Genomic DNA, 21,109 nt, shown 5'->3' with positions numbered 1-21,109 from the left:
CATACATGCGGATCAGTCTCTCCCTATGTCCTCCTCCCGAATACCCTCCCCAGGCCCTGGTAAGCACCATTCTCCTTTCTACTTCTATGAGATCAACTTTCTTAGATTCCACATATAACTTAGATCATGTGGTATTTTGTCTTCTGTGTCTGGATTATTTCACCTAACATAACGTCCTCCGGTTCCATCCATGTTGCTACAAATGACAGGATATTTTATGGCTGAATAGTATTCCACTGTGTATATACAGCACATTGTCTGTATCCATTCATTCACTGATGAACACAGGTTGATCCCATATCTTGGTTACTGTGACTAATGCTGCAATGAACATGGGAGTGCAGATACCTCACCAACACAATGATTTTATTTCCCTTGGATATGTACCCAGTAGTAGAATTGTTGAATATGGTACTTCTGTTTTGAATTTTATGAGGAACCTCCATACTGTTTTCCGTTGTAGCTGTACTAATTGACATTCTCACCAACAGTGTATAAGAGTTCCCCTTTCTCCACATTGGTGCCAGCATTTGTTGTTTTTTGTCTTTTTGGTAATAACCATTCAAACTGGGATGGGGTGATAGCTCGTTGTGGATGAGGTTTTTTAAAGATGGAAAGAAAGAAACACTGCTCTAACACAACAGTGTTTGATCATCTCTAGTGTAGCTTACACAACCTGTGTCTCAGTCCCTGAGCCTGCTCTTCCTACCTCTTGAGATTCCAAGGCTCTGATGGTTTTCAGTTTCATGGCAATAAATGGAGGAATTTGGGGTTCCTTTTGGCAGAGCAGACAGAAAGAAGAGCACAGGGCTAAACATTAAAACATTGTTGTTCACTAGCTTTATGATCTTGGACAGTTTGCTTAACCCCCTATTCAGTTTCCTCATCTCATGCTAAGGGGGAAAAAAAGAATGGAACCTAAATCATGGGTTTTATGAGGATCAAGTGAGATAATATATACAGAGCACTCAATGCAGTGTCTGGCACATAGTACACATTGAATACATGTTAGTTGCTATTACGAGACTGATGGCTACTCTTAGTTTGGACCCCACTGTGTCCTTGGGCAAGTCCCCTCCTCTCTCAGGGCTTCTCTTTCCTTGCCATCTCCATGGGCCCATCTAAGTGTGAAATTTGGTGGTCTTTTTCCCACTCATCTCAGCAGGCAAGTTAGGACCTTTCGCTTTCACCTTGATAATCATCCCCATTTTACCATTTAGGAGAAGAACAATGTGGCTGGGCAGGAGGCAGGTCCCTGGTTATGGCTCAGTCTTTCTTCCCTCTGATAACTTCAGGGGGAGTTATACAAGCAGCAGAGATGGGATACTGGGCACAATACCCATGCAAGCAGCCGCAGGGACTTTCCCTGTGAGAGTTTGGGCTGGAGACGCATCCCTCCCCTCTCACTCACTTGAGTGTTCCCTGGACCGGAGGCAGCACCACTGATGATCAGTGAGGAGCTGGGAGGGGCCTCCATTCTCCCAGGCTCTGCTCTGTCCCCCTTGAAGTCATCAGGCCATGGTCCAGGGGGCCTTAAAGACATCTGAAGGTTAGGAATTGTAGTTTCTGCCCCGTTTGGCACAAAGACAGCTTTGGCTTCAGATAGAGAGCCCAGAGCCGAAGTGGTGACCAAGTCCCCCCCAGAGGGGAGACGCGTATTGAGCCACATCCTCAGCCCCCTTTTCTGGAGAAGAAATCCACCCCAGCAGAGCAGCATTTTAGTGCCACTGAAAGAGCTCCAAGAGCAGATAGTGTGGACACTTATTTAAAAATGAAGACATGCAGAGCAAGTCCACATGCTCCTAATCAAAACATCTTATAACAGGGGTTCTATAGCCTGGTGCATCACTGTGCTCTGAGTTAAGGCCACCTTCCTTGCCAGTACATAGGCTCACTCAAGGACAGTGTGGGTCATGAGACCGCCATAAGAGCATGCTGTACAAGAGGAACACACATGTGCATGCAGACAGATGCTTTCATCGGAGATATAGAAAGTGATTCCTTCTATCCCAATATAAAATTGCTATTCCCATTCCTCTCTGTTTCCCAACTTACAGTCATATAATTTGCTGGGTAAAAAGGTAGGTGTTTCCTTACTTTGTCCTCCTTGGAAATCCACTGCCTCTACCTTCCCCAACATGTGTGGACAGTAAGGGCTGGAAGGGGTGGATTTGCTGACAGAGCTCAGTAGACTGCTTAGGACACCCTGGCTTGTGCAAGTGAGATAGGCTCAGAGGGGCCCCAGGTGACTTGGACAAGTGATTTTGCCAGCATGGAAAGCTGTGGTGGAAAGAAGAGAGCTGCAGACAGAGTCCCATCTCCCACGGCCACTCCACCTCCCCATTCTACAGCTCATCCTACCTACCAGAGGCCAGGCACTCAAAACTCAGGAAGCTTCCCTCAGGGCCCTTCCAGAAGGAACACTCACCTCTGTAGCTTTGTGACATTTAGCCCCTCCACATGTGCCAGGCTTCTGGGCGAGTGTCCTTATGTACTTATCTTCTCATTTAGCCAAGGTATGCTTATGGGTCCGTGCTTTGTATGGAGCCCTGTTTTAGGCACTGAGAGTACACCAGTGATTAAGACCAAAAACACCACTGCCATTATGGAATTTACATTCCAATCTCAGTCCAGACAGGGAGCAAAGTGGAGGGACTTCTGCCATCTAGCTCTCCGTGGCCCACAGGGAATGGGCTTGGTCCATTGGCATCGATCACAGGAGAATGTTTCTAGGGAAAACGAACCCATCTTTCAACCTCATTGTAAGCCAGAAGTGTTTCGTTTAAACAGGAAGGTAACGTCCTCACCATGTGCGAATGCCTGGCTGGTGAGCTGCCAGCCCAGGGTGCTATCAGAGGCTATAATTACCATTGTTTCTCTCTGCCTAATTAAAGGTGGTGTTAGTGACCTGGTTAAGGAATCTTTTTCAAAGACTTCTTTTGCCTTGACAGCATCCCTTGAAATGTAGCACACACTGCCAAACAGAATGGGAGTCACCCTGCGGAAGACCCAGCCACTTCCCAGAGGGACTCAAGGCTGTGCCCTGGGTCTGGTTTAGAACAGAATTAATTTCAGCCTGGAAGTCAGAAAGGGGTACTTTTGGAAGAATTCCATGTTAGAACTTCCACCGCCATTATAAGCCCTTGAATATGGTATCTTTCTTTCCCCTTTTCCAACACACCCCATTCAAGTAATATTTCACAGATCAAAAGAGGGAGGGCCATCCAGTCCCTCCACCTGAACAGATGGAAAATGCAAGAGTTCAGACTCCCATTCCTGACATTTCCAAACAGGAAGGTGTCCCAAGTGTGGGACTTCTCCCTGGCTTTGTCAGGTGTGCTCTCCTTTTGATGTGGAAGGCCAGGCTCCGCAGTTTTCTTTAGGGAACGCCATCTGTACTTCAAACACCCTGACATCTGAGGCCAACTGCTCCCAACCTCCCTTCGATGTGGGTGATGGGATGGGAGCCTTTCACACCGTAGAATTCCCTTTGCTGTCTGCAAAGAGAGGTGGAGCAGGGGAGGTAAAGATGTTAGGTATTTTCACTCCTTCTCAGAAAGAACTTCAGTAATCATGCAATCCAAACTCCTTATTCACTGACATGGCACCAAAAAAAGCTCAGAGAGAGGTACTGTGACTTGCCAAAAGTCTTACAAACAATTTGTAGCAGAGCAGGCCCAATAATAACAATGAACATTACCAAACTCTTACCCTGTGCCGTGTATTCTAATAAAGACGTCTCAGGCATTACCTACCTTTGCCTTCACAACAAAACCATGCTATGAAATAAGTATTGTTATTTTCCCCATTTTACAGATGGGAAAACTGAGGCACAGGGAAATAATGATGAAATGATAGAACCAGGAATCAGATAGAGGCAGTAGGACCCAGAGCCCACATTCTCAGCCCCAACACTCTCCCATTCCTGAGCTGAGTCTCTTACAGGTTGGCTCTCTGTGGTTGCCACTTTCTCAGAAGTATAAAGGCTTTCCCAGTTTGGAACAAGGCCAGCATCACCACTCTCTCTAGGAGAATGTTCCAGCTGGGAATTCAGTGTAAGTCATCATCTTTCGGGCATTTTCCATGGTCTCCATTAGATCCACTTGTGTAGCACTGGCAACTTTGAGGTCCATGTACCCTGGACAAGAATATTTTCTCAAACATCCCCACTATGAGGCCATTTTTTCAGTTTTTGTTTTGTGTATATGTAAGTGAGGTCGAGGGAAATAAGAATCTTTGGTCATTGGGCTGGCACTTTCTGGGGAGGTAAACGTTCCAAATTAAGCTGTAGATGTCAACTGGAGCCCCTGCAGGAGGATCCACCCTTGGGGCCACGAGGACTATTGAACGCGGAGAGCGCACCACCTTCTGTTTGAAGCGTCCGCGTCCAAACGGGACACCAGGCTCTGCTGGTCGTCTGGCTCAATCCCTGTAGCTAGACCCACTCTGGCTTCCTAGACTCAGTTTCTCCAGTGAACAGGGGCCAAACCAAAAATCACTTTTTCCCTGCAGACTTTTTTCATGTTCTGTGTTTAATCTACAATTAAGAGCCCCCAGCCAGAGGCCCCATGTCCAAGCAGTGAGGCAATCTGCAGACCTCATCTAAGTTTGGTCTCAGTCATGGCTCTTTTCCCTGAGAGGACAATCTGGAAAGACATTGAAATAACCCCTGTTAGCTGGATCCAGCAGCAGTAGGATGAGGTCCTGGGAGGGATGTGGGGTTGGGCTTCTGTTTTGGACCAAAAAATCCACATTTGGAAAGCTAACCATATGATTAAGAGTCTTACCTCACTTTGAGGGAATAGTCATAGCATGCAAATGTTTACAATGTCCTTAAAACATTTGCATTTACTTCTTGTATTCAGGATTTAATGTGACCACCACAGAAAGTGATTTAGATTCCTGGTGACTCTTTGAATCTTGAGTTGGGTTAGTAATGGATATGTCTATCTACATTTGGCTTTCTAAATGAGCTCCTTAGGTACTATTTGCTTGGCTTTCTGTCACTTTGCTTGAAATTCACACTGATTCTCACCTCAAACAAAATTAACAGCTGGCTTCAAAATCTGTAGTAACTTACTCACCTTTTTTTCAGGCGAGATAGCTTTTATTTGCATGTTCCCTGGACAAAGAAGCCATTTGGAAATGCCTTGGGTGTAGCTGCTGGTGGGGGTATTAACACTTTGACAACATCAATGCCGCAAATGGGGACATTCTGCCACTTGGTTTTGATAGCCCCGTGGCTTGCAGCCACTAGAGAAAGGTCTAAAAGCTATGTTTACACTCAGCGTCCAATACCAGCTAAAACCCCAGGATGCATCCTGGGAAAGTGGTCCCATCATATGCTCTTTGGATTCTGGCAGCATATTTTCATGTGTGACTGACTCTGAGGGCCCCTCTTTCTCCAAAAGATGGAGATGACAGGATAACAGAGCAGGCGGAGCAACTCAAACAGTGAGGTCAAGTCAGACTCTCTCCTCTTTGCTGAATATTTAGCCTGTGGCACCTGTGTCTCCCAGGTGAAGGGAGATGTCAGCTGGTGATCATTTCTCAGATGGCTGTCAGGTCATGCTTTGCCCTTAGGATGCTGGTTAAGGACACAGAAGCCCAGGCAGCTCCTGACACTGACATAAGTTGACCGTTGTGTCTTGGCTCCACAGCCCCCCACTCGGAGCCCCCATCCTGCAATGCCAACTCCATCTCCTGCCCTTCGCCCTGCACGTGCAGCAATAACATCGTGGACTGTCGAGGAAAGGGCTTGATGGAGATTCCTGCCAACTTGCCGGAGGGCATCGTCGAAATGTAAGTGCACCTGTCTGACACCCCCAACAACTGTCGCCGGAGAATTCAGCTCCCTGTCCCAGCCCATCACCCACTAGGCCATCAGCGTGTGGGGCTGCTGGAGCTGACCATTAAAAACACTCAGGAATCTCTTTGCTGTCCTTCCACACTTTCCCAGCTATGATAGCTTGGTGGTCAAGAGCATAGACTCGAGATCAGAATCAGCAAGCTATAGCCTAGGGCCAGGGGTTCCCACTGCCTATTTTTGTAAATGTTTTTGAATACCTCCACATCCATTTATATGTGTCCTGCCTGTGGCTGGTCTCATATGGCAGTATTGAGCAGCTGTCACAGAAGACTGCATGGCCCACAAGGCCTAAAAAGTATGTTCTCTCTGGCCTGTCCCAATGAGTTTGCAAACTCCCCTTAGAGTCACGCTGTATTTGTATCCTGGCCATACCGTTTACTAGCTGTGTGACTTCAGGTAAAATAATGTCTCCTTCATCCTTTGTTTTCTCACCTATATTAATGTGACAATTATAGTATGACACCTCAGTGGGTCATTGTGAAAACTAAATGTAATACTACACGTGGAGCCCTTCATACAGTCCTCAGCACATGGGCAGGTACTCTGTAAAATAGTGGTGGAAGTGGTGGGACGTAAACAAATGATTCACTCATTTCTTAGCTACCATTATCTGAGAGGGGGACTGAGCTCTTAATTATCTCAGATCTGATTTTTGTCCTCTAGATTAGATCATTTTTAGGTAATGACACAAGATGGTGTTTGTCTCTGTGTATACATGAATGTCAAAAATTCCAGTAAAATGTGTTTGTCCACATAGTTCGGTCTAGTCCACTCTCCCCTCATACATTAGAAAATGGCCAGTATCTCATTCTAAAATGAGTAGAGGGCCAGTCAACACTGACCTCAAGATTATTCTTTAAATAGCGACAGTTGTTTTCATTTTTTTGCCTTCACCTTTAGTTGGCTTGATTAAAAAGATCATTATATGGAGCCCTTCTACTGAGAACATCATTAGGTAAAATCCCTCCAAATAAAAGATACATATTCCCCTTGCCTTTCTGCTTTGTCGTAATCTCCCCCCTTTCTTCTTTCCTCCTCTTCCTCCTCCTCCTCTTCCCCCTCCTCCCCTTCCCTGTGTGTGCCCTTCTGTTCCCAATGCATTCCAATTGATGACCATTGACTCCTTCATTCATTCTTGTATTCATTCAGTAAACATCTGTTGTGAGCCCACTATTTTCCTGTCATTGTTCTGTGCTTGGAAAGACAGAAACAAACAAAACAGACACATTTCTGCCTGTATGACACTTGCCTTCTAGTGATGGAGGGGATAAACAAGCAACAAAGTAAAGTAAGTTAGATAACATGTCAGAAGGTAGATTCTGTGGAGAAAAATAAAATAAGAAAAGGACATGAAATAAGCGAGAGAACCAAATGGCTATCTGGAGGAAGAGTATTATAGGTTGAGGGAATCGCATGTGCAAAGGCCCTGACGCTGGAGTGGGCCTGATGCTCCAGAAGGCCAGTGTGGCTGGAGTAGAGTAGACAAAAGGGATGGTAACAGGGGATGAGATCAGAGAGGTAAGGAGGGGCCGCATCCTGGGACGTTTTAAAGACTTTGGCTTTACCTTGATTGAAACGGGAAGAAGCATACGACTTACCACAGTGGAGTGGAGACTTCGCTTCTTCTTTCTTCACCTACTTTGCCAGCTTTTCTTTAATTCCTTTACAGTCCCATTTTCCAGCCATAGTAGACACAACCCATGCCTCCGCACCCTCTGGCAGGCAGGAGCTGGTTAGTAAAGAGTCCTTTCTGCCTGCCCTCTCCGCCTTCTGCGGCCCTCCACCTTCCTTTCCACAAATACTGACAATTCATTCCCTTAGGGTTTTAATGCACCTCTCCTTCAGTCCCTGTGGTCCAGTGCTCTAGCTTTAGAGAGCGCTCCCTCTACGGAATCTACTTAGTCCTCACCTACTTCTCCTGCTCCTCCTACGGCCTTCCAACATACTATCTAATTTACTTTAAATATCTCCCTCCTTCCATCATTCCTCCTATTTCCTATCCTTGCTCTCTTTCCTTTTTGCACTGTTTCCCTTTCATCTTTTTTTTTTTTTTTTTTTTTTTTTTTTTGAGAAAGAGTTTCACTCTTCTCACCCAGGCTGGAGTACAATGACACAATCTTGGCTCACTGCAACCTCTGCCTCCTGGGTTCAAGCGATTCTCCTGCCTCAGCCTCCCAAAGTAGCTGGGATTATAGGTGCCTGCCACCACACCCAGCAAATTTTTTTGTACTTTTAGTAGAGACGGGGTTTTATCATGTTGGCCAGGCTGGTCTTGAACTCCTGACCTCAGGTGATCCACCCGCCTCGGCCTCCTAAAGTTCTGGGATTACAGGTATGAGCCACCGTGCCCGCCCTCCCCTTCATCATTTTCTCCCTCCCTTGATGCATTTCTCCCCTTCTCTCCCTTGCCCTACCCATGGTCTTCCCACTTCTCTTCCCCACTCTGCCCACCTCTTTCTCCACCCAGTTAACCTTCACTTCCCTTCCCTCAACATCCAGCCACAGTGAGCCTCTGGCCCTCCCACAGTGGATGTTCAAGACAGAATTCCTGCCAGCCCTCATCTCATTTCAGATTCCTATGGATCGTTCCTTTCCTTCCCTGCCCTACCTTATTCTTTTCTCCTTCCATCTGCCAGGTTTTTTTCTCTTTGGCAGCCATAGACCGTCCCTCGGCTAGGTTCCCAAACTGCAGTCTGATGAAAGAGTCCAGTCCAGGTAGCCAGGCTGTAGCCAGTGAGCCCACCCCAGCCCTGATTGAGGGGCTCTGGGCCTGCCACCCCCCTTCCACTTCACATCTCTATACTCTCAGTTTGGACCTCGTGGATACACAGCTCAGCTCTCCAGGAGACAGAAATTGCAGATAACAACATCAGAGGTGGGCTCTGTGCAGGCCAGACCATACCTGAAAGGTTGGACTCACACCTGGATGTGTTGAATTTTAAAAGCAACATTGACAAGCTAGAACAGTAATTGCCAAAAGCCTGTCTATTACGACTGAGTTTTTCTCTGATATCAGGTAAAGTGAGAAAAACAAGAACAATGTGATATTTTTCTATTGAGCAAAAATATTCAGTTTAAAGGAGCATCCTTTCAGTTTTTGGACTTCCTTATTTTGTTATCATCGTTTTTAAAAATGTCTTTTATTTTATAAAATGATAGCCACTGAAGACAGAGTAGTCTCTGTGTGTTATCTATGTGTAATTATTGTATAATTATACTTTATGTGTATTGTATAGTAGATACACACAGATTGCCATAATTGGCAAAATAAAAGGTCTTGTCACCACCTTGTCTTTGAAATCCAAAAGTCTGAGAATGATCATCCTAGCTAGAGTGTTTCCAGAAATAAGGAGATACAAACAACCAAGAGGTTAAGAGTATAGACTGTGGATCCCAGCAGACATACATTCCAGCTTTGGCTCTGCCTTGTAGCCATGGGCAGATAACTTTTCTGAGCCTTGGTTTCCTCAGTTGCAAAACGCAGAGGCTAATGGCACCTCCTTACTGGTTCTTATGAAAGTTAGGTGAACGAATATAGTAAAATGCTTAGCATTGTGTCTGGTCCGTAGGATATACTATATTAACAATGCTTGTTGTTAGTTCATACTGGCAACTACTACAACTATCACCACGACCTTTATTAGGATGATGACAATGGTTAGAAACCACATCCTAGGAGCTGGAGCTACCTACACAAAAGATCCCTCCGTAAACATAGGTCAGTTCTTTGAAGGGTTATGGTTGAGAGAATAGGTTCTGGAACTAGGCTAGCCACTTGCATTATGACTTGAACCTGGGAGTAGCTCATCTTCATGCAAATGTATTCATATATGTAAATAAGACTGCCCCTGCGTATTGGGCACCCACGGTCTACCAGATGGATTGCCGAGGACTTTTCTTGCTGTGCTTGCCTCCTCCTCCTCTGTGATAAAATGAAACTGAAAAATTAAAGCAGAGGCGGCAAGTTTCTATGGCTGGATAGGGCAGTTCGAGAGGTGACATGTAAGAGAGAACTTGAGAGCAGGTTGGAGGGGGGATCCTGCTTCTTCCATGTACCTGGGGACCTGTGTGATGGCCTAAAAGTCTTCTACCATGTGAGAGGTCAGCAGATGGGTGGGAAGATGAGAAAAAAGGGAGCAGAGAGTTGAAACAGCAGGATGCACCCCAGGATGAATAGGAGTTATCTGATTTATCATTCCAAAGACATCCAAATGTCTTTTTTTTTTTTTTTTCTTATTGAGAATTCCACTCCTTGTCCATGGCCACCCATATAATCCAGATTTGTACTTTCTCCTTAGGAATGCTTGGTACTGTGTTAAGCTCTCCACTCCCTATTCTCAATCCTTAGCTACTAGTGATTCTCTTAAATTGCCTTAACCTTGGGTGGGGCTCTGCACTCCCCAACTTTAGGGGAAGGGGAGGGGGTTGCCTATCTCTCATGCAAAACAGTCTCGCAGACTCTCTTCAGTGTTTTCCAAAGCCAAAGCAGCTCAGAGGAGTGTGTGCTGGTGTCCCCGAATACCAGAGCCCATTCCTCTAAAAATAGTTTTCTTCCAGAGAACCCACAGTGAGATGATGATTCACTGCAGATTTTCTTCGAAGCTGAGCTCCCACCGATGGCACCGTTCTCACTGCACCCTGTCGGTTCTCTGAACCAGCTCTGGCTTCCAGCAGGTTTTGATTATGGGAAGCCCCAGAGACCCACATGTTCATCTGCTCTGTGGTCTTCAGACGCCCTCATGAGTCTTCAAAAGCTCTGGAGGGACCATCTGTCTTTAGAGTCCCATCTTCTTCCACTTTTGCTCTGTATCTCCCCATGGTGGTATCCCGTGTCTCGTATCTTCTGCTATGGAAGCTAAATGTCTTCCATGAAGAAGGGCTATGGACAGGCTTCCGTGTCCAGTCACAAGTGAGAGCATCTGGCAGGGGAAATAGCCCCAGTTTTCACCCTGCCTCCCCTTAACCACAGTGTCTCTCTGAGATAGGGAGGCAGCCACTTAACAATAGCAAATATTCCATTCTTACCAGCCACCAGGGGGTTTAAAAGACACACAGAATTAAAAACACAACAAAACAAACCAGCAAACAGAACCAGAGAGCTGGAATGTTCTAGAAATCATGGACATCAGTGACTCTTGGATTTTCTGAGAGCACCAGGTTTCCATGTAAGGGACTGTCACATGGAAGGAGGGGTGATAGGGTGGGATGGGAGCAGGTGGTACGAAGGAGAAGCTGATCAGACAGAGTGACTGGGAACAGAGCATTGGGATCCACACTTGGGGGTTCGAATCCTTGTTCTGCCTCTTACTTTAAGCACATTCCTTAACATCTTCATGCCTCATTCAGTTCCCCACTTTGCCTAAAGGGGGTCATCATACCTACCTAGAAATCTCCCGTGAAGATTAAATAACATAACATGGAGAACTGTTTGGAAGCTACTAAAAAGAATGTAAAAAGCAAAAACATCTGCACATGTATATGTGTGTGTCATCACAGAACGATTTAGTCTCAAGTTCCCATGCAATTCTTCATCCATTTTGTTCTAAGACAAAAAAATAATTTCCTCTGTGGCATCTGAGCACATGCACAGAATAAGCAAAGCAAATCTGGCTCTGTGCTGTGTCTGTACCTCTGCTTTCTGTAGGCAATACCAGGTGTCTACACACAGCACAGGTTGGGAATGGCTTTTCTCAGATATGCCTACATTCCTCATCTTCTCTATGGATCAAACATGTAAACTGGATGGGAGAGTCTAATACACTTTACCTTTCTTTCTTTCTTTCTTTTTTTTGAGACAGAATTTTGCTCTCATTGCCCAGGCTAGAGTGCAATGGTGTGATCTTGGCTCACTGCAACCTCCGCCTCCCAGGTTCAAGTGATTCTCCTATCTCAGCCTCCCAAGTAGCTGGGATTACAGACACCCACCACCATGCCCAGCTAATTTTTTTGTATTTTTAGTAGAGATGGGTTTCACCGTGTTGGCCAGGCTGGTCTCAAACTCCTGACCTCAGGTGATCCAACCGCCTCAGCCTCCCAAAGTGCTGGGATTACAGGCGTGAGCCACTGCGCCCAGCCAACAGTCTACCTTTCTGAAGAACCATGAGGACCAATGGTAAAGAAAGAGAGAGGCCAGAAAGGGACTGCCCCAGAAGGTGGGCCCAGAGCATAACCTTGAAAGGAACCTTCCTTTTTAGCCTTCTTCCAGCATAGGGAAGCATCAGGAACTGAACCTTTGGGGTCTAAGTTGTCTGGTCCAACCAACTAGCCCAGGATGACTTAAAGGAAGAATAAACATGGGGCTTCCTTCCTTCAGCGTGATCTGGACATCCTAACAAGAGTTCCCAAGTCAAGGAAGGCTGAGAGAGATGGGAAAGAGTTAAGAAACCACAAAAGTGGCTTCTGGGTGGGAGGCAGGATAGCCTAAGGGTTAAGAACACAGGGACTTCAACCAGACCAACCTGGATTCAAATTCAGGCTCCACCATTCACTAGCTACCTGACCTTAGGAAAATTGACCTCTTCGTACCATTATTTCCTCATCTGTAAAATGAGTACATTAATAATACTACTTGGTTCATAGTACTGTTGAAAAAAATAATTTGAGCCAGTGTGCAAGGAAGACAGTGTCTGACATATCAAAAGCCCTCAATAAATGGTAAATGTTCATATTATCACCACCACCACCACCACCAATGTTTCCACACACTCCAGGACCTTTTAACCAGGTGACTTGCAGACATGCCCCTGTGCCGGCCGTGCCCCTGCCAGGCTCCCTGGCATCATGTTGACTTCTGTATTGCTAGAAATATATTGTGTTTAGTCACATGTTTGCAAATGACAGATCATTAAGGAAGCATCTGAGGAACTAGGGCAAATCAATACAGAGCACAAATGGCTGAAATCCCCATCAGATGTTCCCATTGTTTTTGCTGGTGCGGGAAGACACTCAGATGTTTGATTTGTATGTTTGTTTTTATGCTAGTTCTATTAAATCAGTTTGCAGCCTGAAGAGTGTTTGCCAGACAAAGAAAGACACATGTGCCAGTTAAGAGAGACCTAAATCAGCTGTTGGCTTCAGACACATCCCTAAATGTGACAGTTTTTGCTGATGCAAATGCTTCTTTTTGTCCTTTCCATTGAGCTTTTCACACTAGGAGTCTGGACCTTTGCATCCTTGTTCTAGGTTGCAGGACTAGGCTAAGTGCAAAGACTTCCAGGAGTACCTGCTGCACAGAGACTGCATGTGAACCTGCACACATGTGTGCACACTTTCCAACCTTGCTTGCATGACAAAGGGGCCATTTTCCCTGTGGATGAGCTGGAAAGGACTAAGAAAATGAAGGCCCTTCAGCTCCAAATGGCATTCAGCAAAGCCTGGTGATTGAGAGTCTGGGCTTTGAAGTCAGATGAACTTGGCTTTGAGACCCAGCTCAACCTCTCCCTGACTTTGTGAATTTGGGCAAGTGACTTAATCTCTCTGAGCCTCAATTTTCTCATGTTTAATGTGGAGGTGGTAATAACTAATAAGATCTGACTCATAGAATGTGACTATTAAGTCAGACAGACCATGTGAAACTCTCAGCCTGGTGCCTAACAACTAAGCACCTGATCCATCATAGCTCTTGGTGGTAGTGGTGGTTATGGTTATCCCTCCCCTTTCCTTTACTTTACATTGAAGGTACACAAACTGTTCGCAACCACGCTCCCACTGCAGACAAATTCCTGCTGCCTCCTGGGGCAGGGTTGACCCTCATCATGCAATGGCCTTGGCACTCCAGGAGGGGCTGGGTGTTCAGCCAGTGCCCAAAACAGCCTGAGAAGCTGAGTAACTGCAGACAAGAATGAAACCCAGGCCAGGCGTGGTGGCTCACACCTGTCATCTCAGCACTTTGGGATGCTGAGGCAGGAGGATTGCTTGAAGCCAGGAGTTTGAGATAAGCCTGGCCAACATAGTGAGACCCCTCTCTCTACAAAAATAGAAGTTAAAAATTAGCCAGGCATGGTAATATGGGCCTGTGGTCCTAGCTACTCAGGAAGCTGAGGTGGGAGGATCACTTGAGCCCAGGCGTTCAAGGTTGCAGTGAGTCATGATCACACCACTGCACTCTAGCCTGGGTGACAGAGCAAGACTCTGTCTCTTAAAAAAAAAAAAAAAAGAAGAAGAAGAAGAAAAGAAAACCAAAAGCCAGAGTGAGCAAGTGTGAGGGGTGCAGGATGCAGAGCAAGATCTCTGCCAGGCTTAACAGGCTAAGCCTGGAATTCTTTTTTCTTCGTTTGGAAGCCACACCTTTGTACTCCATTTATATGTCTTATGTGTATTCACATCTATATTTCATCTTCTCTGGGCTCCTGCAGCTTTTCCCTGAATACCTACTTCCACAGAGACTGCATGACGTCTCTGTGTGTGAGCCCTGGGGTCCTAATCCCTTAAACTGTTCTGTGACTTTGAGAAAGTCCCCTTCAGTTCCTCCATTTTCACAAATATATAGAGGCAGCATATCCAATGGATAGAAACAGAGATATCAGTTCTGCCCGTTCCTGGCCCTGTCACTTTGGACAAGCTATTTGATTCCTCTAGGTTTTCTTTTCCTCATCTGCAAAATGGGGCCAATATGGTTTACCTCACAAGTGGAAGGATTAAAAGAGATAATAGACATAGTCAATTAGACCCCATAAATGATGGCTCTTGATGTTTATTATGGTAGCAATAAAATTTGGTTCTGTGATGCTCTTGGGCTGGTCTCTCTCATCAGATTCTCAGACTCCTTGGGGCCAGCGTCACATCATGTTCCTTGATTAGTCTCTCCCTCAATTCTTGCACCCATCATTAAGATGGAGGGTAATTGATTAGGAACTGCATAGAGAGCCCACAGACCTCACACCCAGTGCTAGCCTGACTTGCATAGGCTCATTGGCCTGCAGTTGGGAGCAGTGGATCCTCTTGCAAAAACTGAGGGGATTGCCGTTGTTACAGACAGTGGCTTTCCCTGGAGGCATCATCCAGCTGAAATCTCTTGCCACAGTGGCAGGTGAATGACGGGATTCCTGGAGAGCACGCACCACCTGACTGGCAGCCCCAGAGATCCATGGAGCTGCTGCCTTGGCTAAGAAATCTCTGCTGAACTCTATGCTCAGCTGGAAAATGAGCATGTCCTTGGAACTTCTCAGGCAAGGCAGGCTGCCTCAAGTCTGCTGTCTCTGTGGGTGGCTGTATCCAGTAGCCCACAGTCTCTGAGACCCTATGGTAAGCTTTTGTGGCTCTCTGTGAGCAGGCTAGCCAGGCCTGTGACTGTGCTCCCGGTAAAGTGCACTCCCCGCCCCCCTCCAGCAGGGTACAAAGGCATTGTTAATAGATCGTGGCAGTCTCATTTGTAGACTCTATTCATCCGGCAGCCAAGAATGATATGTCCTGATACTCCCTCTCTCCTCTCACCCGCCTTTCCCCTTTCTCCCTGCTTTCCCCCTTCCTTTTGCCTGGAGAGTGATTTGTCTGTGTTATGGGTTGGCCTGACAAACCATTCCACATTAGCAGCTGAGATGTTGTTTGAAATGGGAAAATTGCTGGCAAACTGCTCCATTAGCAGTTCCAGTAACAAATATTCTGTTCCCCCAATGAAGATGAGATCACAGAGGCACAAATTAATACGACTGTCTCCCCCACTCTACAGCGGGGATTACTCTTCAAGATGAATGGGTTCATCCCAGCCAGAAATGTGCATCCACTAGCTGTAGGCTTCAAGGAAGCCCGTTCCTCCCATCTACCCCTTTTGCTCCCACTACGTCCCCTGCCACACACACTTTTTTGTGTGTCTTCCCAGCTGAGGGTTTGGGGAGCATCAAGGCCAAATGAGGGGTGATGAAAAGACCTGCACCTCGGAGAGAAGGGAGATGGATGAGGATGAGATCCTGAGCCTGGGCCAGGGTGCCATTCATCACCCCGAATAGAGCGCCCCACCTCCCCCACATGCCTGTTTCCCACCACACCTGTTCTTGGTGACAGGAAGTCATTTGAGAGATGAAAGAATAAAGAATGGAAATGCTCACTCATTCCCCACGGCCCCTTCTCTTCCAAGGAAGTTCTGGGCCCTGGGCCTGCAGCGTCTCTTGTTGCTTTCAAAGTAATAGGAGAGGAAGCATTTCAGGAAACTCCATAAGAGGTTAAAGGCACAGATTCCAGCAGCAGACCCGGGGAGTGGTCCAGTCTGGGCCCCTGGGCCTTGCAGGATGTCAGGGAGCCAGTTTGATGAATGTCAGGCTGGGAGCCTAAAGACGTTAAGGCTGTTCCTGCACTGTATTAAAACAGCCCATGGAAAAGCTCAGAAATGAAGTCAACCATTGACATTTCTGCCCCATTAGCAGTGTGGCTGACTGTTTAACTGAGTAGTGACATGGTTCCATGACAGATAAGCATTGCTGGCCCATGGTCCATCTCTTTTTACTCTTCCTTCTCTTTATCCCTTTGACTTATTCCGCATTCTGCTTGGTTACTTCTACAGCTTTCTCTGAAGAAGACAGCTGCTGCCAAAAGCAGTTTATAATAATCAAGAATCAAAAATCTTCAAGGAAAGATCATCCTTTCCCTCTTTCTCCAAGGAGAGTTAGACCCTTGGACAGGTGCTCCATGTACTAGGACCTGAGTTCTCTGACTGCTGCAGTGTTTTGTCTGGTCTGCCACAACCAGACCGTGCACCTGTGACAAAAAAGACCTCCCTGTCCTTAAGGCCAGAGAACACAGTAGCCCTCAGTGACCACTTGTTGACAGGTGGATGGTTAATTCACTCTTCTCTGCTCTGTTTCCCAGACGCCTAGAACAGAACTCCATCAAAGCCATCCCTGCAGGAGCCTTCACCCAGTACAAGAAACTGAAGCGAATGTGAGTTTCCCCTGTGGAGAAATGGGCCCAAATGTTTTCAATTTCCAGGGTTGTTTGCAATGTGTAGTGGGCAACCTGTCCAGGTGACGGACCATGTCCATTCCTCCTGGGCAGTTCTGTTTCAGACCTGGAACGCTGTCCTAAGCTTGGGAGGTAAGATGTGGAAGTGTTGCCTGAAGATTGTGAGGTGTGTGGGCTTGGACATGTAGCGCTAAGAGCCTCTCCAACTAAAGCAAAGTAAAACTATCTGTGTGGGAGGTAGAGACGAATTAGCCTGGAAAATCCATTTCACCATTTATACTGTCCCTTGGCTCCAGTGATGTGGACCTAAAATAGGAGTTTCAGCAGAGATGTGATGGTGGCCCCGCAGCTGTCTACACCACTGTCACCAACATCCCTCCAACCAGGCATACATTCATATAACAAATACCAAGTGAATGTCTGCTGCAAGCAAGGATCTATGGATAGAGCAGTGAACAGAAACCAAGTCTGCTCTCACGGAGCTTGCATTCGAGTGGGAGAACGCAGAAAATAAAGAAACAAATATCAGAAATCAGAGTATCAGTGATGGTGGGAGGGTGTCTTTTAGGTAGGTGTGCCTATGAAGGTCTCTATGTGCAGGTGGCCTAAAGAAAGGAAGGAAGGGAGCCCTGAGCTCTCAGGAAAGACTGTCCCAGGCAGCAGGAAAAGCAAGTGAAAGGCCTTAGGGAGCATGTGTCGATGGTTTGTGGAATAGCAAAGAGTGGAACAAGTGAGGGGAGAGGATGGGGCTTGTGTTGGAAAAGTTGGTACTAGATCACATGCATCCTTTACCGTGGTACAGACTTTCTGTTCTTCCTGCATGAAATGAGAAGCCTCGGAGGGTATGGTCAACATGTGAGCACCCCCTACATCCCCATTAGCTCTGTAAGTCACACCACTCCACCACTGCATTACATCAGTGCCGGGTGATACCAACCCTGCTGTTCCTCCCTCACCACAGCAGCCTGGACGGCACCATTGCATCACCGCCCTCATCCCCACCATGTGACAATGTCATCATTCTTCCCCATCCCATGACGACCTTGAGCACTGCTCTGTGAGTCACTCAGAGCTGGGGGCTCTGCAGGGAGGACAGTAGGATTCAGAAACAGCCCAACCATTGCCATCAGTTCTGCACAGATACTCCTTCCCTTTTTGAGGCTAAGAAATCATTTAGTAGAGCCCAGTAACCGAGTTGCTGTTTTCATTCCACTTACTCTTTTCACATCCCCCCACACCTCACCCTCCCACAGAGGAAAGAGAGAGTCAGGTAGAAATATGCATGGACTCGGTCCTGCTTCTTCCTTCCACACGAGGCTGATTCATTGCTTTCCCTCGAGTGGGAGGGCCCACAGTAAAGAGGTTAAGTGTCTGCTGATTCCTTTTATGTTAAAAATAAATATCCCTGCGAAACAGTGGCATTGGTAGGCTTTACCCTCAGATCTTGGGAAGCCAACTTCCCATCTCCCTGGAAATCCAAACCAAACAAGCTTTTCTTCTGGTGCAATTCCAGAAGTGGAAACCAACATAATGAGGCAGCTCGAAGCACGTACTTCTTCCCTCCTCTTGGCAGCATTCCTGCTGGAGGAGCTGTATAAATATAGGCCTTAATATTTAAAACCTCGGGCCATTAATCTCCTGGTGTCCCTGCTTCCCCAGCCCGCTCTCCATGCATCCCCCCCCCCAATTCATTTTTAAAGCTCAGCTTGATTATGCAGCCAGATAGTAATTTCAGTGAAAAATGACAAGTTCAGTCACTGCCCCAACCTATATCTCCTACATGATTTAAGTTATTGCTCTAATTTTTTGTGAAGTCCAGGTAATTTAAAGCTTGACTATGTTTTACTGTTCCTTCTCCAACCTATTGGACTTGCCATGATCTGTGCATTCAAAATTCATAAGACCTTCTCAGTCACGACCTGGAAAGTGAATTTAATTTTTGATCACTTATGATGCTACTGATATTTATTATGATGCCCTTTTTTTCCCCCAAGAGGATGGCAATAGAGAAGAGAGCACACTTAAAAATGTTCGACTAATGGAACTTCAGAAACCTAGACTGAAGTGCAATCAATGGTTTGGGAGAGGTAGGGTCCCTGGTGAGAATGGATTTCAAAACCCTAATTTTTCCTAAATATACGTGACCAGTTTATCCCTAATATCTAACAGGAGGAAGTTTCCCCCTCAACTGTGACTGAACCACATCCTGCTCTTGTCTCTTACCAAAAAAGAAAAGAAAAAAGGGGAGGGGGGAGAGAAAAAAAAGAATTCTCTCTGAATGAATGGCTTTGTCTCTGCCTATTCCTAGTGGTTACCTTCGTATAAAAAACATTCCAAGTACAAACTAAAAGGTTGAGTATTCCTTATCCAAAATGCTTGGGGCCAAAAACATTTCAGCGTTCTGAATTTTTCAAAGTTTGGAATATTTTCACATACATAATGAGATATCTTGAGAATGGAATCCAAGTCTAAATATGAAACTCATTTATGTTTCATATATACCTCACACACATAGGCTGAAGGTAATTTATACAAAGTTTTTAATAATTTTGTGCATGATATGAAGTTTTGACTGCAATCCATCAGTCACATGAGGTCAGGTGTGGAATTTTCCACTTGTGACGTCATGTCAGTGCTCAGAAAGTTTCAGATTTTGGAGCATTTCAGATTTTGGATTTTTGGATTAGGGATACTCAACCTGTATCAAAGCAGAGAAGCAGTAGAAAGCACTGGAGACAGCCCCTCGGTCTTGCAAATTTGGTTAACTGACTGGTAGGCCTGACACCTGGGCTATCTATTATTGTGCCAGAATGGGGTGTTGGGAATTCTTTTCTCTTTCATGCTCTTAGGCAGAGCAACTCATTCCACAAGCTCCAGGACTTCCTAATATCTCACACTTATATTCCCTGCATGACCTTTGTAGGCACTTGAATTTGCCACCTCTATTCTGAACAGTCTGGAAAAGCTACCCCTTCTTGGTCATCCAGTTTATAAGCCCCAGAGGACCAACGTGGGTCTGAGACCATTTTCTAAAACATTGCGGCCTGAAGTATATGACCTAGGGACCACCTACATGGAATCACCTGGAGATGTGTTACATATACAGATTCGTAGCCCCAACCCCCAGCCTACAAATCAGACACTCTGGAGTGCATTTTTAATCTACACCCTCGTGAGGTTTGAGAAGCACTGGTCAAGAGTCATCCCAGTGCCCAGAATCAGTTCTAGGAGCAGCTGCTGTGGCTAGGGACAGGGTCATGCATGGAGGTCAGTGGGCAGCTGGAGCCATCTCCCATCTGCCTTCCAGCTCAATGCCCTGCATTGTGCCTCCATCACAACAAAATAGCAGAGGGGGCCTTGAGCTGATAGGAGACTTGAGATGCTTGCTCTGTGCCCAAATGGCTGTGTCCAGTCACTTATGGCTCCAGGTACTTCACCTCTCAGGGCTGCTGTTTCCTTCTTGCAGAATTAAGAATTAAGACGCAGTTTGCCAAATGTTCTCACTTATACATGGAATCTAAACAAAGCCAAACTCTTAGAAGCAGAAAGTAGAATGGTGATGTTCAGAGGCCGGTGGGGTGAGGGTGGGGTAGAGATGAAGATGACACAGATGTTCGTCAAAGGGTGCAAAATTTCAGGTAGACAGGAGAAGTAAGTTCAAGAGATCCATTGTGTTATACAACACGGTGAATGTAGTTAACAACAATGTATCGTATACTTGAAAATAGCTCAGAGAGTAGATTTTAAGTGTTCTTACCACAAATAAATGATAAGCATGTGAGGTAATGCATAGGTTAAGTAGCTTGACTTAGCTATTCCACAATGAAAGCATATATCAAAACATTGTGTTGCACACCAAATATGTATACATTTTTAAAAGACTAGTTGAGTACAGTAGTGAAAAAGGAGGAAAGAGTAGAACAAGGAGTTTGATCTGTAACTGACTGTGAACAATCCATTGAGAGAACTCACTACCTTTGAACCAGCCTAAATATGCAGTTTTTATAATAATAAAGAAAAAGACAAAGTGACCAAGGTCAATTCCCAGCTAAACTGTCTATCACTTCTCCAATTCCCACTCTCCAGCACCTCCAAACCGTGGGGCATCTCACCTCATACTGTAGGGAGAGATGGGTCCAGAAGTCTAGTTGTGGACTGAAAACCAGTTTGCCCTCCCAGAGCTAAAGCAGAGGGTTTCCGTGCTGGCCACATAGCTTCCTCTTGCAACTAGAGGTCTCAGCACCTTGAAGGGACAATTCATAATCAGGGGAAAAAAAGACAACACAGGCCTTCCCGCTAGTCCAGTCTAAACAGATCCTTCGTGTTTGTCTGGAATGCTTTGCATAG

General features: G+C 46.0%; 1 protein-coding gene across 3 annotated transcripts in view; it reads left to right on the top strand.

The window, feature by feature from the left end:
* The window catches only part of SLIT3 (slit guidance ligand 3), a 639,400-nt gene that overhangs the window by 488,892 nt on the left and 129,399 nt on the right, over nt 1-21,109 (top strand). For all 3 annotated transcript variants that reach the window (NM_003062.4, NM_001271946.2, XM_017009779.1), the window contains exons 9-10: nt 5,661-5,802; nt 16,670-16,741. In NM_003062.4, the coding sequence (NP_003053.2) occupies nt 5,661-5,802; nt 16,670-16,741 (214 nt within the window). The remainder of the gene's footprint in view (nt 1-5,660; nt 5,803-16,669; nt 16,742-21,109) is intronic.

This window comes from Homo sapiens, chromosome 5, assembly GCF_000001405.40.
Source record: "Homo sapiens chromosome 5, GRCh38.p14 Primary Assembly".
NCBI classification, from domain to species: Eukaryota; Metazoa; Chordata; class Mammalia; order Primates; family Hominidae; genus Homo; species Homo sapiens.
The sequence above is the reverse complement of the archived record's forward strand: the minus strand, read 5'-3'. Positions and strand labels throughout refer to the sequence as shown.